A 16,454-nucleotide genomic window follows, 5' to 3' on the forward strand; every position below is an offset into this window, starting at 1 on the left:
TTAAAAACCCTGAATGGCTCGTTGAATTTGGATAAAATCCAAATGCCTTAACTTGGCTGGCAAATGTTCACGCTGTGGCCCCTGGCAATCTCTACAGACCCCGCTTTTCATCTCTTTTCCCCACATCCTTGCTGCACGGGCTATAATTTAAAACCTTTAATTCCTCTCAGCATATTTGTCAGGCATTGTCTCTCCACCATGGGGCTGTTATATACGTTATTCTCTCTGCCTGGGATGCTCTACCGCCTCTCCCTCTCCCTACAACTTAAGATCGTAGCATTAGATGCTTCAGTGCCATTTCCTCTAGGAAACCTTCCCTAACCACAACCAACAGAAAACTCGGGTCCTATGGCACTTGACATTTCTCCTTTCTAACACCCACCACATTCAGACTCACAAGTTCATTGAGTGCATTCCTCCCGGGTTGTAGCTCCGCGATGGCAGGGAACAAGTTGAAGGTCTAAATTGATAATCACTTTATTTCAGGAGTCCAACACTATGTCTGAAACATCACCATAGAACAAGATGGATGGATGTTTTCATCACATCTATGGATATTAGACCTGTGAGTACAGTACCTAAGTTCTCATTTCCATCCTCATAGAAAATAATTATTTTTTATGATGTCTAAATTTTTTTCCATTGCAAGTATTTACTCATTCATTTGTAACTGAGTGGAGGTTTGTTTGAATGCAATCACAAGAATGGCTCATAGTCACAGGTTGGGTCTCCAAGACAGCAAGGGCCACAGAGTACAGAGTTTTAGATCTTGTGTATAAGACCAGGCACCACAGAGCTCTCCAGTGTCACCTTCCCTCATATTTGCCCTTGCTTTCTAAGGTCTTGCTATCCTGGGCTGTCCCCCATTTTCCACAATGCTCTTAACCTCAGCCTGGGATGCTGCAGATGGGATTTATAGTTCACAGTTAGAAGATCTGGTCAATGATGTGTTGATTGATTGCTAGACAGCTGCTACCAGCTTAGTCTGAAAACATCAGGAAATTTTTTATGCCGGTGACAAAGGGAGCATAATTATTATGTTCTCAGGGTATTTTTAATTATAAGCAACAATTTAATCATTGCCTCAGATCTGCCTATGAGCTTACTTTAAAAAAAAAAGACAACTTTTCACAATAGTTTACTGGCACCCTATGGCAACCAAGTGTAACCTACTTTGGCACCTAAACATGGTTAGAAATAAAGACTTCTGCCCAGAAAGGGTAGATGACCACATGGAATGTATTAATTCCTAGACAGAAGCACATCAATGTGTGATCTTAAAGTGATTCTTTTCACAATGAAAGAGTTACTGAAATGAAAACTACAGGGAGGATATTTTCCCCCAAAGATTAACTCTTTTCCTAACTGCCTTTTTATTTCCAACCTAGTCTCATCTCAGTGGCTATTCTGAGGGTTTCTCATGTAAGAATCATTTTACTGAGTTTTATCCCAGATGAGAAGTCTATAACTGAGATTGTAATCCTTCTAAGTGAATGGAAATTTCAAGTGTAGCTCATCAGTAATAGCTGTTTAAGATGAAAACTGTCATGGTCTTGTTGCCAGAATAATGACTGAGCTACTATGAAAGAAACTCAGAGCAGTTTGCTGAGATGAATTGGAAAAGTGGGTGTCCTTTCTTTTTAACTTTGAAATGTTTTACCTGGCTTTGGTGAGCAATTCTAATTCCTGTCATTTAAGTTGGCATTTTGTTGTTGTGGTTGTTGTTGTTATGAATAAACACATGAGAAAAAGATTTATGTAGAGGATCATGGTTTAACTATTCTATTACTGGACACCATAATAAAACAGATCTGAAAACTGTGAATGACAGTGACAATCGGAATACCTTTTACATAGTGCCTGTCTCCAAGGAATCATTTTTCCCTCATGTCAGAGGATCCAGTAATCTGTCTTTGGCTAAAGAGAGAGAATTTTTTTTTTTTTTTTAATGTCCAAGCTTCCAGTAGCCTAAACAATTGCCAGCAGAGAAACCAAGGCTGTTTTCTTTCAAAAGCCTATACAGAACTATTTTGGAAACAGTTCAGCCACTGGGTAAGCGAGTCAAAGGGCTGCTAGGAAGTGTGTGCTGTAGCACACATTTCACTGTCTGCAAACATTCTTTTCTGATGGTGCATCTGAGTGCTGAGATTCTCTCTCCCTGGGGCCTTCCTGTTCCATCTGCTCCAGCTTACTGGTTCCCCTGCAAAAACAGCAAAGGATGCCATCCCTGCACTGGGTATGTAACTGAACTGATTATATTAGATTTGGTGCTATTAATTTTTAATAACTTCAGCAAGAAGTAATTGGGCAGAATTTCTCCTATTTAACAGAAGGGCAGTTTGAGGCTTTGAAAAAGGTCCTGCTTTCTTATTTCTTTCACTAATGTGCCATCCTGATTCCAAGGGAGGCCCTTTGGTCTTAGGGCTGTGCTTGGGCATTTGCCTTTTGGGGGCTAAGAGGGAATTGGCCAGGCGCTGTGGCTCATGCCTGTCATCCCAACACTTTGGGAGGCCGAGGTGGGCAGATCACTTTGAGGTCAGGAGTTCAAGACCAGCCTGGCCAAATTGGTGAAACCCTGTCTTTACTAAAAATATAAAAATTAGCTGGGTGTGGTGGCATGCACCTGTAATCCTAGCTACTGAGGAGGCTGAGGCATGAGAATTACTTGAACCCGGGAGGTGGTGGTTGCAGTGAGCCGAGATCATGCCACTGCACTCCAGCCTGGGCAACAGAGCAAGACTCTATCTCAAAAAAAGTAATTAACAGAGGAGTTTGCATTATTCACTGTCAGTCTGGGAGTAATTAGCTGAGGCTCTACACTTAATATTACACAGAGATTAATCAAAGAGGGAGAACATGCAGCCCTTCAAGAGCCTGTTACTTGAGTGGAGAAACACATGGTTCAACCAAACCTGTATAATGGTCTTTTGGAGATGACAGGAAGGTAGCTCTCTGCCTAACACAATCCAGGCAATTGTCTTGGGTTGAAGGCCCTCGATGGGTGTGCAGAAGACCTACGTTCAAGCCCTGAGTCTGCAGCTTCTGTCTTATGACTGGGCAAAGATCTGCTTTTGTGCCTGTCTACCCCTCTGGCTGCTCTCAAAGCAAGCCCCTCCTCACTCTCTATACTCCAGCTATACCCTTCTCCCTCCACCACAGGACCTTTGCATGGACTGGTCCCTTTGCCTGGCATGCTCTCCTGCCTGTCCTCACTCCTACTCTTTCTTCAGGCGTCATTTAAGGTATCATTTCCATAGAGAATCCTTCCCTGACTCCATCTATATGGGGGTCTTCCCATCATGATGTTGATCACAAAGGTCATCAATGTATTTTATGATTAAAGTATTTGTTTTTTATTTTTCTCTCACTAGATCAAGTAGAGATTATGTCTGTTTTGCTTATTATTGTTCCCCTTGGAACATATTGCCTGGCAGAAAGTAGAGGTTCAATACATATTTATTGAGTGAATGAATAAAGCTATCACATACATGCCCTGAGCTTCAGTTTCCTATAAAACAGGGATCATAAAGCCTACCTCTTATGGTTGTTTTATGGGAGAAATGAGTTCCTGTGCTTAAAAGTGTCTTGGACGGCTGGGTGTGGTGGCTCACGCCTGTATTCCCAGCATTTTGGGAGGCCGAGGCGGGCAGATCACGAGGTCAGGAGATCAAGACGATCCTGGCTAACATGGTGAAACCCTGTCTCTACAAACACACACACACACACAAATTAGCCGGGCGTGGTGGCAGGCACCTGTAGTCCCAGCTTCTCAGGAGGCTGAGGCAGGAGAATAGCTTGAACCCTGGAGGCACAGGTTGCAGTGAGCCGAGATTGCACCACTGCACTCCAGCCTGGGCGACAGAGCAAGACTGTCTCAAAACAACAGCAACAAAAAAACATGTCTTGGACAGTAACTGCATTTAATAGGTATAAATATTGCTTATCTGAATAAATACAGAGCTTAATAGTACTCTTTAAATCTGTGAGCCAGCACTTAAGTGAAAGGCCCAAGTGTTAGCAGCATCATTTGTATGATGCTTTAAACTTAATAAAGCTGTTCGCTACACGTGGAGTAGAAGATTGTGTTTTCCAAAGATAGCTCCATCAATACATACATCCCATCCCACACCCTCTTATAACATCACTGCTGTTCCTTCTGCAGAGGGGTGGCGGGGGAGGGTCTGTGTTTCCTCCCGTTGAATCCTGTGGGGGCTTGTGACTGCTCTAACCAAGGGAAATGGCAGAAGTGATGCTACCTGACTTCTGAGGCTAGGTCATAAGAATGGTATAGCTTTGACTTGGCACTCTGCTTATCTCAGGTGCTCGCCCTTTAATCTGCCACCACCATGCCACCGTGTCATGAGGAGGCGCTGACAGACTTACCATCAACTCCCAGACATGGGAAGGAGCGAGCCTTTTTTTTTTTTTGAGACGGAGTCTTGCTGTATCACCCTGACTGGAGTGCAGTGGCACGATCTTGGCTCACTGCAACCTCCGCCTCCCAGGTTCAAGCAATTCTCCCACCTCAGCCTCCCAAGTAGCTGTGACTACAGGCATGTGCCACCATGCCTAGCTAAGTTTTATATTTTTAGTAGAGACGGGGTTTCACCATGTTGGCCTGGCTTGTCTTGAATTCCTGACCACAGGTGATCTGCCCGTCTCAGCCTCCTAAAGTGCTGGGATTACAGGGGTGAGGCACTGTGCCCTGCCCAGGCCTAGCATTTGAGTAGCCCCAGCTGGTATCAGGTGGAGCGGAAACAAGTTGTCCCCACTGATCCCTGTTCAGATTGTAGGTTTGTAAACAAAATAGATGCTGTTGTAGTTTTAAGCCACTGTGTTTTGTAGTCATTGTTATGCTGCAATGGATAACCAGAACACAGGGTAATCCCAGCCCCTGCTGGCCCATGCAGTAATCAAGGTGGGCATTACCATTTATTCTCATTTTTCAGATGAGGGAGCTGAAACTCACAGGAGTTAAGTGACCTCCTCAAGGTCACATAGCCGGTGGGTGGTAAAGTCCAAGCATCTGGATTTCTAGGATTTGTCTTCCCTATATCCCCCACAAAGTCCTGAATCTCATACATGAGCCTCAGCAGCAAAGGATGTTACTAACCTCCGAGAGAATCCTGTCTCCTGTTTAATTGGACTTGGGAAGCTTGGAGCTCCCCTCTCTTCAAGCTTGGGCTCTTTCAGATGTTCCAGCATCCTGGCCTCACACTTCAGAAACAGGAAGAAGAAAATTGCAGCAGATTATAGCCTTAGATAGCACTTGAATTTTTTAAGATGCTAGCCATCCCTCATGCCATGAAAGCGCTACATTAAGGCTTGGCAGATGTCATTTACACACATACCAGAGAGGCCAAGAGAGGTTCAGAGAGATAAAGAAATCAATTAGAGGTGGTTGCATGCCTCTTAACCCCAGACATGCGTAGAATTTTTCAAAAGGTTTCTCATCCCTCTCCCTGCACACCCACTCTCAAACTTGTTTCACCATTTTCCATCACAAGGAACTAATTAGAAAATCAACTCCCATGGGACAACAGCTCTGATTACCCCTGACTAGAGAAATCGTATTGCCATTTTATAGGCCTGACACTTTATGAGTTGTTGAGATAGTACAGAAATTGAGCACAGCACATGCTCCATAGTAAACCCTCAGCAGGGCAGGCATATCTCACAGGCTCCTTGTGATTACAATGTAAAATCCAAACTCCTCAGCAATGGGCATACACAAAGCTCAGTGTGATTAGGTCCCCTTCTTTCTGCTCAGCAGTGTCTTCTACCACATGCTCCTTGCACATTAAACTCTAGCAACAATGAATGTGCCCTCATCCACCCCTCTAGTCTGCTCATGGCCTTCACACAATCCTGGGATGCCTGTATTCTGCTGGTCTGCTTGACAAACATCTTTTCTTTCAAATCTCAAGAGCTATCTTTTCTGAGAAGCCTTCCTTGACTCTCCCAAGCTAACTCAGAGAGTCAAGTCCTGCACTGAAGGAATTTTATTTTCTATTCTAACTGGATGCACTAAAATCAAAGACAGAGACCTCCCCCGACCCCAACAGTTTCACTCACCAGTCCTAAGTGCTGTGCCTAATTCAAAGAAGACACTTAAAAGATTTACTGAATGAATAAATTCTCTCATTTAATCCTTATGGCTGCCCCATAAAGTGGGTACTTTTATAATCCCGTTTTACAGGTAGTGAAACTGAGCTCAGAAAAGTTAAGGGACTTAGACTACCACGGCTAAGTGGGGGAGCCTGATATCAAATCCAGGAATGTTTACTACCAAAGCTCTTGCTCTTTCTGCCATGCCATACTGTGACTGCCTCTCCATTCAGTGATGATTGGATTAACATCGGGGGATGCAACAAGAAAGTCCTCCGTAGACCAAGGCCACCCCAGAACTCTGTGCACTGCTTTGAAGAAGTCCCCCACCTGCTCTGTGAGTCAGCACAGCTCAGAGTGCACCTTTCAAATAGGCTGGTGTGATTAAGGAGGTTCAATGACTTTTGTCCCTTGTGTGATTATTGTTGTTTGAAAGTAAAGACAGTTTCCTGCGTCTGTTAATTTCATGCCTGAAACTCTCTAGACTAGTTTTAGGACTTGGGCTGCACCTGTTTCTCATCAAAGTTTTAATGTCCCTATTAACCCCATCTCCCTTTTCAGATTAGCCTGTGTTTGAAGCTTTGATTAATTTTATTCTGCACTGATGGGGGATTCTAAACTCTGTGCTTCTTCAAAACAAGCCCTGCTGGGCCTGTCGGCTATATGGCTCCAGTGGTAATGATCTTCTGCCACATAGCTATAGAAAGTCGAGCGGCAGAAGGAAATTAACCTACTATTTCCACAAAGGGATATGCTCAGAATTGCCAACAATATTTATGTGGGCATTGTGCTCCCAGATACACTTGGATGGCAGTGAATTGTCAGTTACTATGACAAAATGACGGACGAAATCAATCTGCCAAGTATGAATAGCTCTCAATGGGCTTCAAGGTTCTCAGGTTAAGGGACCCACAAAGCTGACAGGGGTTGGGCCTCATATCGATATGACCTCCATTGGAGAGCATATAAATTAGCTGAGATGTAGGCAAAGAGGTCTGTTCCCCAACATCTCCCCGTCCCTAAGTGGAGCGTTTTCCGATATTCATATGGAAATGAAAGACCATTTCAGAAGGCCTGGAAGTCCAGCTATGTTAATAACATTCAAATCAGGCCTCTGTTCCAGAGAGGTTGCATGAATTTCACCTTTTCATACAACATTTCCTCCTCCTCATTAGTTCTCTCCCCAGATAAATTATATTAGATTGCACAAAAAATAATACAAGTAGACAAATCAAGTATGCACCCCACTCTATCTTTCTAGTTAGATAGATATAGATAGATAGATAGATAGATAGATTCCCTCCTTAGAGGAAGTGATTTCAGATTCCTCTCCATTGGGTTCTAGACCTTCCCTGGAGCCACTCCATTTCAGAGTGATTTTTAAATAAAAGGTTTTTGTGGGTGAACACTGGTTCAAAATAAGTTCCTATTAGTAATAAAAAGAAAGATAAAGACATTCATTCAGGACATCCAAATAACTCATAAAGACTTGGATTCTGGAGCAAGTCATCTAAGAGGAAACAAATGTTGAAAGCCCTAAGATGCTTAATTTTATTTCGATTATCATTGCTTATCTGTGCTGTAATTTTAAGGTGACTCATGTAAATGCTTTACATCAAGCTTGTCCAACCTGAGGCACACAGGCTGCCTGCGGCCTAGGACTGCTTTGAATGTGGCCCAACACAAATTCATAAACTTTCATAAAGCATTATGAGATTTTTTTGGCAATTTTTTTTTTTTAGCTCATCAGCTATCATTAGTGTTAGTGTATTTTATGTGTGGCCAAGACAATTTTTCTTCCAACGTGGCCTAGGGGATCCAAAAGATTGGACACCCCTGGTTTATTATGTAAGCAAACCATAAAATTAAGTTTGGAAAAATTTAATATTCTTTATAAAGAATCATTAAAGAAATTATTATGAGAAAAAATATTTCAACTCTCTTTACAAAAAATCCAAAATTTCTTTTTTTGGTTCTATTTCTTACTATAAGCTCTCTTTGAATTATGTCTGATATATTTAAAATAAACTATGAGGCCAGGCGCTGTGGCTCATGCCTGTAATCCCTGCACTTTGGGAGGCTGAGCTGGGAGGATCACTTGAGGTCAGGAGTTTGAGACCAGCCTGCCAACATGGTGAAACCCCATCTCTACTAAAAATATAAAAATTAGCCAGGCATGGTGGCACATGCCTGTAGTCCCAGCTACTTTGGGAGGCTGAGGCAGGAGAATCACTTGAACCTGGGAGGCGGAGGCTATGGTGAGCTGAGATCGCACTGCTGCACTCCAGCCCATGCGACAGAGCAAGACCCTGTCTCAAAAAAAAAAAAAAAAAAAAAAAACCCTGGTCATCTCCCAAGAATAACCACATAGTAGCTAAAGAAACTGGGCTGAACCTCACCCAATTCCAGTAACTCTGTCACAGCAAATGACACTGAGAATTCAGAGATGTCAAGTTGATCATCTTTGTAGTTGTTAAAATCCATGAACTCTCCTTTGAAAAGTTATTATGGAGGATAAAAGAAAAAACTCTAAAGAATTGCAAACAGTGTATAATTCAGTATTGAATATTGTATTAGGACTTAGAAGCAGGAGATTTGACTTAGGCAGATTAAGTCAGGAAAAATATAATGAATGATGCATAATTTAGTCTGGGCCTTGAAAAATAGGTCCAAATGTAATTTCATGAAATTATTTAATATTTTCAATATATAAAGAGCTCTTAAAAATAAACAAGACAAGCATGCCAATAGCAAAAAAAAAAATAAAAAAAAAGCCAAAGGACATCAAAGATAATTTATTAAAGGCAAAAATGTAAAGAAACATATTAAAATATTCAACCTAATAATGAAACAACTTCAAATAATAATATGCTTCTCTCCCCCAACCCCATTCAGTTGGTAGAAAAATTTTTTTTATATATCATCACCCAGCAGTGAAAAGATCATTTTGTATCTTGTTCATGGGAAAGTAAATGAATACAACCATTTTGGAAGACAATATGGCAGTATGTATAAAGAACTTAAAAAATGTTATTTAATATTGATTAAATAATCAGAGATTTCCATAAAAATATACTTGTATAATATGGAGCTACTTATAATAGCAAAAAACAGAATTACTAGATGCCCAATTCTAGGGAATTGGTTTAATTATGATATATACGTGTAACATTAGGAAGAATATTTTCAAAGACTTTTTAATGGAATAGGAAAATTTATCTAATATAGTAAGTGACTAAAAAGGCAGATAACACATTATATATAAGATTTAATTCTACTTAAAATGTACCTCTGCATGTGTATTATATATGTATTTACATATGCATTACCAAAAAAAAAAAAAATAGCAACTATCTCTGAGTGGTGAGACTATGGATTTTTTTTTATTTTCTAATTTTTGTACATTTCCTAAATTTTCTATATGAACAAAAAATATTATTTGTTACTTTGTACATATTATAGTTGTCTACTTACTCTTACTGACAGAGAAGTAGTGATGCTATTGCTTTCCTTTGTAGAAAATCAATCCCATCTTCTAGGATATCTTCACCTTTGTTGCTATCATCCCATTTGATCAATGATTTATTCTTGGTACTCTAGAAATCTTTCCCAAATGCCAAATTGAGTTAGGAAGCATACATCCTCTTGTTGGATTTTTTTTTTTTTTGAGACAGGGTCTCACTATGTTGCCCAGGCTGGGGCGCAGTAGTGCCATCATAGCTTATTGTAACCTGCAACTCCTGGGCTTGAACGATTCTCCTGCCTCAGTCTCCTGAGCAGCTGAGAATACAGGCCCACACCACCACGCCCAGCTAATTTTTTATTTTTATTTTTGTAGAGTCAGGGTCTTGCTGTGTTTTCGGATCAATTTTATGCAATGTTTTCTTCTCCTTTCATCTGTATTACCTATTTTGCAAGCCATTGCACAATTCCAGCATCGCTCTAATCTTTCTGATGACTACAGAGGCAGTCAAAAATGGCACTTAATTAAGAGCATGAACTCGAGTCTCATTGTCCATGTTCTGTAAAACCTTGGGGTGGGTCCTGGAACAAATCCCCCAACTACCCTGAGGAGTGACTGTATGTCCCTCTTGCTCTCCATTTGATCTTAATCCACAGAATCAGCTTCTATTAAACATCAAATTTTTTAATCTGTGAAAATGTTCATCTTTCTACAATTCTGGGAAAACTAAGGAGATTCACTCTTTTTGGAGAAGTGATAATTTGAGAAGTGGTTGCAACTTTACTCTAAATGTGGTAATATTTGGTCTTTTTCTTTCTCATGCCTTCCTAGAAAAAGAGTAAAACTGAAATAAAGCCTCTTTCATTGCAGTCGACACAGGTGATTATGAAAGACTTCAGAAATAAACCCCAGTGTCCTACGAGGCTAAATGACTTAGAGCCCACTCTGCATGACATATACTGTTTATAGTTTTTGAATATTTGAGGGATCTGGTTTGGGAAGCAATGACAAGAAAACCAGATTTTTGCAGTAAAATAAAATAAGAAAGAAGTCAATGGCATTGAATCCTAAAAGTCTTCCAAGCAAGAAGCCAGGGTAAGAGATACGTAGTTCAGCAAAGGTTTCGAATCCTCTTGAACCTTTATAGCCTCTAATCCTTAACACAGGTCTGCTCCCTTGTTCAAATTCATTAAATACCCAAAACAGCTGGGTAAAATATGGAATAATATAGGGTTACTGTTAACTTGTTTAAATTCAGATCAAATCTTAGTCTTTGTTGTTGTTGTTGTTCTGGCCTTTTCTGTTTAATTTGCTTCAAAGGTTTTCAGGAGCAGTGATGTGAATTATTCTGCATGTGCTGGATAGATTTTAGGCTTTAAAAGAGGCAAGATGCCTCTGACTTTGTGAGCACGAAAAGACTACCCTGAGCAGGGTTTTCAGATTTGGTTAGTCTGAAAGTAGTGACTCATATGGGTTATTATTTCCACAAAGATCAAAGACGTGTCTAATTGGATAAGGTGGGTAGCACAACAGGTGGTTTGTATCAAGTCTTCTCTTTGCTTTACAAAAAGCAGAGTAAATGCTCAGGTGAGAAATCTCACTCCAGCAAAGTTCACAAATTAATTTTCAAATTGCTGAGTTTTGAAGGAGTGTTAGTATTTTCAGTGTTAGAAGTTAAAGTTCAAGTTATCACCATAACCTACAACTTTGTTTCCTTTCCTATCTTGGCTTAACTGAAATCTGTAAGACATTATATTAATCTTTTTTTCTCCCCCCACAATTTTCCCTTCTCTAAAACTTCTGGAAAGAGCGTCAACATCAAATGAAAACATTTCCACAAACAGCCACATTAATTTGACTTATGTAAAGAATACATTACTCATAATTCAGTTAAAATATAAAATATTTAAATTTGATATCTTTTCTCTTGACAAAGATGTAAATTTGGCACAGATTTATTTAATGGAGGGGTTAAAATACTTTTATATTTTCTAAGTGACTTTTTTTTTCCCACTGATCAAGAGATAGCCATACGTTTTGTATCTCTTTTTTTTTTTTTTTTTTCTAACAAGACAAAAAGTCAAGTGTCTTTAACAACGTATGTTGAAGACTGCTCAGGGCAGTCTTTTCATGCTGACAAAGTCAGAGGCATCTTGCCTCTTTTAAAGCCTAAAATCTATCCAGCACATGTGGAATAATTCTCATCACTGCTCCTGAAAACCTTTGAAGCAAATAAACAGGAAAGGCCAAAAAAAAAAAAAAAAAAAGATTAAGATTTGATCTGAATTTAAACAAGGATTTTCAGGCCAGGCACAGTGGCTCACGCCTGTAATCCCAGCACTTTGCGAGGCCGAGGCAGGCGGATCACCTGAGGTCAGGAGTTTGAGACCAGTTTGGCCAACATGGTGAAATCCCATCTCTACTAAAAATACAAAAATTAGCTGGGCTTAGTGGCGCGTGCCTGTAGTCCCAGCCACTCAGGAAGCTGAGGGAGGAGAATCGCTTGAACCTGGGAGGTGAAGGTTGCAGTGGGCCGAGATCGTACCACTGCACTCCAGCCTGGATGACAGAGTGAGACTCCATCTCAAAAAAAAAAAAAAAAAAAAAAAGGTGATTTTAAATTCTAGGACATATTTATATAAATGACATTTGTCCCTACCCTTTTCTTGTTTACAGAGAAGAAATGCCACCCAACCTCCTCAGTTTTGTATTTATTTGACTGATAAAAGAAAAACTTCAGCTGAATTAAATTTAAAGAAGTTTAACTGAACAACCAACGATTCACGAATCAAGCAGCTTTCCCAGCCAGAGTAGGCTCAGAGACTCCAGCACAGCCACATGGGAGAAGATTTATGGACAGAAAAAGGAAAGTGAGGCACAGAAGCAACTAGATTGGTTACAGGTTGGCATTTGCCTTATTTCAACATGTTCAAACAATTGGCTACATTTGGCCAAAACTCAATGATTGGCACAAGTGTAAGCTACGGTCTGTTTACACCTCCACTTGTTATAGTTCACAATGTACAGAAAAACCTTTAAGTCGAACTTAAAATACGTACAGAGGCAACTTTAGGCTAAACTTGATTTAACAGGACTTTGGAGAATTGTTAATTTGAGTATATTAGGAATATAGCCATTTTGTGTATAAAAAAGCTATGCGTGGTTTTACAGGAACCTAGTTCAAGAAAAATCAGACATATAAAACAGACTAATAAGGAAGTGCTTACTCTGATTAGAAAATTATTCACCTTACAGGATAATTTGCATCAGAGTTCATTTTATCTGTGTGCATCCGAAATATGATTTTGTATTAAAAGTGAGTACTTATTACTATCTTAAATTTTATTGCATTTGTCTAATTATCCAGATAATTATGGTTTTTAAGAAAGATATGCTTTCACCTGAACTACCCCAAACCTGAGAAATAATGTTATTTATAGAACATTAGAACTGGAAGGGAACTGAGAAACCCTTTAACCAAGCTGTATGTAGATTTGTTTTTTTAATGTTGAGCTTGTAGTTAGAATGTAGATGCAGGAAAGTTGATCAGCATTATCATCACTTATTAATTTATTCTAGCTCTCATTTTGTAAGTGTGTGTGTGTGCATGTGTGTATTTGGCGTAAGAAGTTGGCTAAAATTTCCTAGCCTAAAAATGATCAAAGGAGTATTTTCTTGATCTGCAGTCAAATGCTCTACCCCTGAGCTATACCTTCTCCTTAAAGGAGTATTTTCTACTACCCCTTTATTCAGCAAGTAGCAAATAAAAAGAAAGGAACCTTAAAGTCTTTATAGGTGACTTTTATTTGAAAAATATATGACATATGACCCACATCTATGTACTAGTTTTAAATGCTATCTGGCCTTTGTTATTATTTGTCTTAACAAAACAAAACAAAATCGTGCAGTTGTCAGAGGTGTGTGAACCAGAGCAACTCCATCTTAAGTAGGAGCTGGGTAAAATGAGGCTGAAACCTACTGGGCTGCATTCCCAGATGGTGAAGGCATTATAAGTCACAGGATGAGACAGGAGGTCAGCACAAAATACAGGTCATGAAGACCTTGCTGATAAAACAGGTGGCAGTAAAGGAGCCGGCTAAAACCCACCAAAACCCAAATGTCGACGAGAGTGACCTCTGGTTGTCCTCACTGCTACACTCCCAACAGCACCATGACAGTTTACAAGTGCCAAAGCAAATCAGGAAGTTACCCTATGTGGGCTAAAAAGGGGAGGTGTGAATTATCCACCCCTTGTTTAACATATCATCCAGAAATAACCATAAAAATAGGCAACCAGCAGCCCTCGGGGCTGCTCTGTCTATGGAGTAGCCATTCTTTTATTCCTTTACTTTCTAAATAAACTTGCTTTCACTTTGCACTGCAGACTCGCCCTGAATTCTTTCTTATGCGAGATCCAAGAACCCTCTCTTGGGGTCTGGATCAGGACCCCTGTCCTGTAACATATTTCTGGTGACCATGAAGGGACTATAGTGCAGTAGCCCTGACCCAATGGCTACCTTTGGGTAAGTGTCGGGGTCCTGTAACGTCTTTCTGGCGACCAAGGAAGCGACTATACTGTGGAAACCCCCGACCCAAAGGCTACCTTTCGGTAAGTGGTGGGGTCCGGTAACATCTTTCTAGGGAACCACAAAAGGGACAATACTAAGGAGACCCCCCCCCCTCGCCTGACCCAAAGGAAATAGACTGCAGCACTGATGGGACAACTTTGGGTAAGTGGTGAGGTACCCAGGTAAAGAATGGGATTGGGTTAAGGGCCCAACTTAGGGGAGTTAGGGTCTCTCCTAAGACAGAATGGGTTAGAGGCCCATCTTAATAAAAGGCAAGGATGCTTGACTTTAGGTTAGAGGCCCGACTTAGGAGGGTTAGAGTCCCTTCTAAGATTTAGGGGGTTAGAGGCCTCTCTCAGTAAAGTCTCTCTCAGTTAAGAACAGGTTTGGCACTATGTGATGTTAACTGCTGTTCTCTTTGGATTAATCTGCCTTGCAGTCTTTGCTGATGGCTGTGGGTGACAAGGTTAGGCATGTACAGGATCCAGGGACATAGGGACCTTTTTCCTCCCTAAAAGGGAAACTTGAGAGCTAACAGGATGGCTGGAAAATATCCCTTTGCTACCGAGAAACAGCCGACTGGACTTTTCAATATTGCTGCAATGGGTGGGTCTTTCTCACCCCCCTGAGCATTTCGCCTTCCCCACACTGCCACAGGCAATGCTTTTCTCTCTCTCCTTTCCCTTTCTTATCTTTTCTATTACTCAGGGCAGCCATCTTGCCCAGAGACCACGTGTCGTGTCGAAACTCCAAGTCAGAGGTTGGATTAAAGATGACAGGGCCCATCTGGTGGCAAATTTAAGTCTTGCCACTTTGATATTGGGTGCTAAGCAGAGTGGCTAACATCTATGTTTTATCACACGTATTTTACTCTGGCCAGAATGAAAAAAAGTAATTTTCTTTTATATGCGGCTTGGCCCCCAGGGCGATGATGCCACAAACCGGATCACTAGGGCCATTCAGAAGCCTGGCATGCCGGCCAAAGGGTAAGCATTTCTTACCAGTCAGATTTCTGGCTTCTCTCTCTCTCTCTCTCTCTCTCTCTCTCTCTGTGCAAATGGTTAAATGAATGGAAAAAAAAAAACAAAACAAAAACCAGTGTTTATCTCCTCTGTAAAGTTTTGATTAATGTGAAAAAGAATTCTAAGGCTAGTCTTAAACTGTTGTATTTTATGCTATGAATTCGTTTTTCTGTAGAATAAAACATGGGCTTAGAATACCTGTAACCCCACATTTCAAGACGTCCCAACAAGCTGGTCAGTAAACAAACTTGGCTGCAGGTGTCTGAAACAAACAAAAAAACTGGATGAAGTCTCCACCTTGTTTCATGTCCTTGGGAGCTTGACTTTTTAACCCCGTGGTGGTACCTTCTCTTGGTCTCCGCCTTGCAGGGAACAGGAATTTTAGGGTTCATGTCATAGTCAACTCTAAAAATCATATTAAACAGTTAAAACCCTTTACAACCTCAAAATTAACTACTCTAGACTTCTTCTGGGAAAGAAAATGGAGACTGCCTCCTACTGTAACTCAGTAACTAAGGTTTTACACTTTTACAGTGGTGGTCCGGGTTCAATTCCTCACCTAGGAAGTAAATCATTTCTGGCTTAATATCTGCATGACCTTGTCTATTCTCTTCTCTGTGGACTATCTTAAATTTTCCTTTCTCTATGCAGCTAGCAGGTTACCTCTGGTAAAGTTCAGAAGCTAGAAATATTGGCTGCTTGGCATGGCTGAAGTCAGGTAATAAGAGATCTGAAAGGATTTCTTTTTTAAAGAGCACTATGGTTAAAAGTCAACTTAACTAAAAGTGGATAAACAAGCTATAGATATATTTTAAAGGCCTTTATGTTTTTCTCTTCTTGGAACTTGTTTTTCCGGGACTCCTTGGGAAAAACAGAGGAGGTGCCACAGACCCCGTTTTGGGGAAAAATCTGTTTTCCTCATGAAACCCCAAGAATTAAAAACAGATAGATCCCTCTCAAAATCAAAGACTCTGTTCTGTTTTACATTACGTTATATGATGGTTTTGAGTTTTGGGGATATCAGAAATTACTTCACATTATGAGAGAGTTTTGATGTGTAATAACTAGGTAGTTAATAGTAGTTACAGAGGGATACTTGACTCTTTGCACACTTGTATCAGAGAAACATGCTCTTGGCCACCTGGAAGATAAGGAAACATCCCTACCCCCTCGGGAGATGAGGCTTCCCTGAGGGATGGGCTGATTACCAAATGGGCTGATTAGCTTTGGGTTGTTTTACAATGAAATACAGAGTAGAAGCACTACACTATCTTCCACAGTATTTCCCTCCTT

The 16,454-nt window shown here is 40.6% G+C and overlaps 1 long non-coding RNA gene across 1 annotated transcript; it reads left to right on the forward strand.

Moving 5' to 3' along the window:
• Positions 1 to 448: 448 nt before the first annotated feature.
• On the forward strand, positions 449 to 16,086 carry LOC105376583 (uncharacterized). Its single transcript, XR_931103.3, has 3 exons — positions 449 to 565; positions 12,248 to 15,125; positions 15,813 to 16,086. It is a non-coding gene; the product is annotated as an uncharacterized LOC105376583 (long non-coding RNA).
• Positions 16,087 to 16,454: the final 368 nt, after the last annotated feature.

Source organism: Homo sapiens, chromosome 11, assembly GCF_000001405.40.
Source record: "Homo sapiens chromosome 11, GRCh38.p14 Primary Assembly".
NCBI classification, from domain to species: Eukaryota; Metazoa; Chordata; class Mammalia; order Primates; family Hominidae; genus Homo; species Homo sapiens.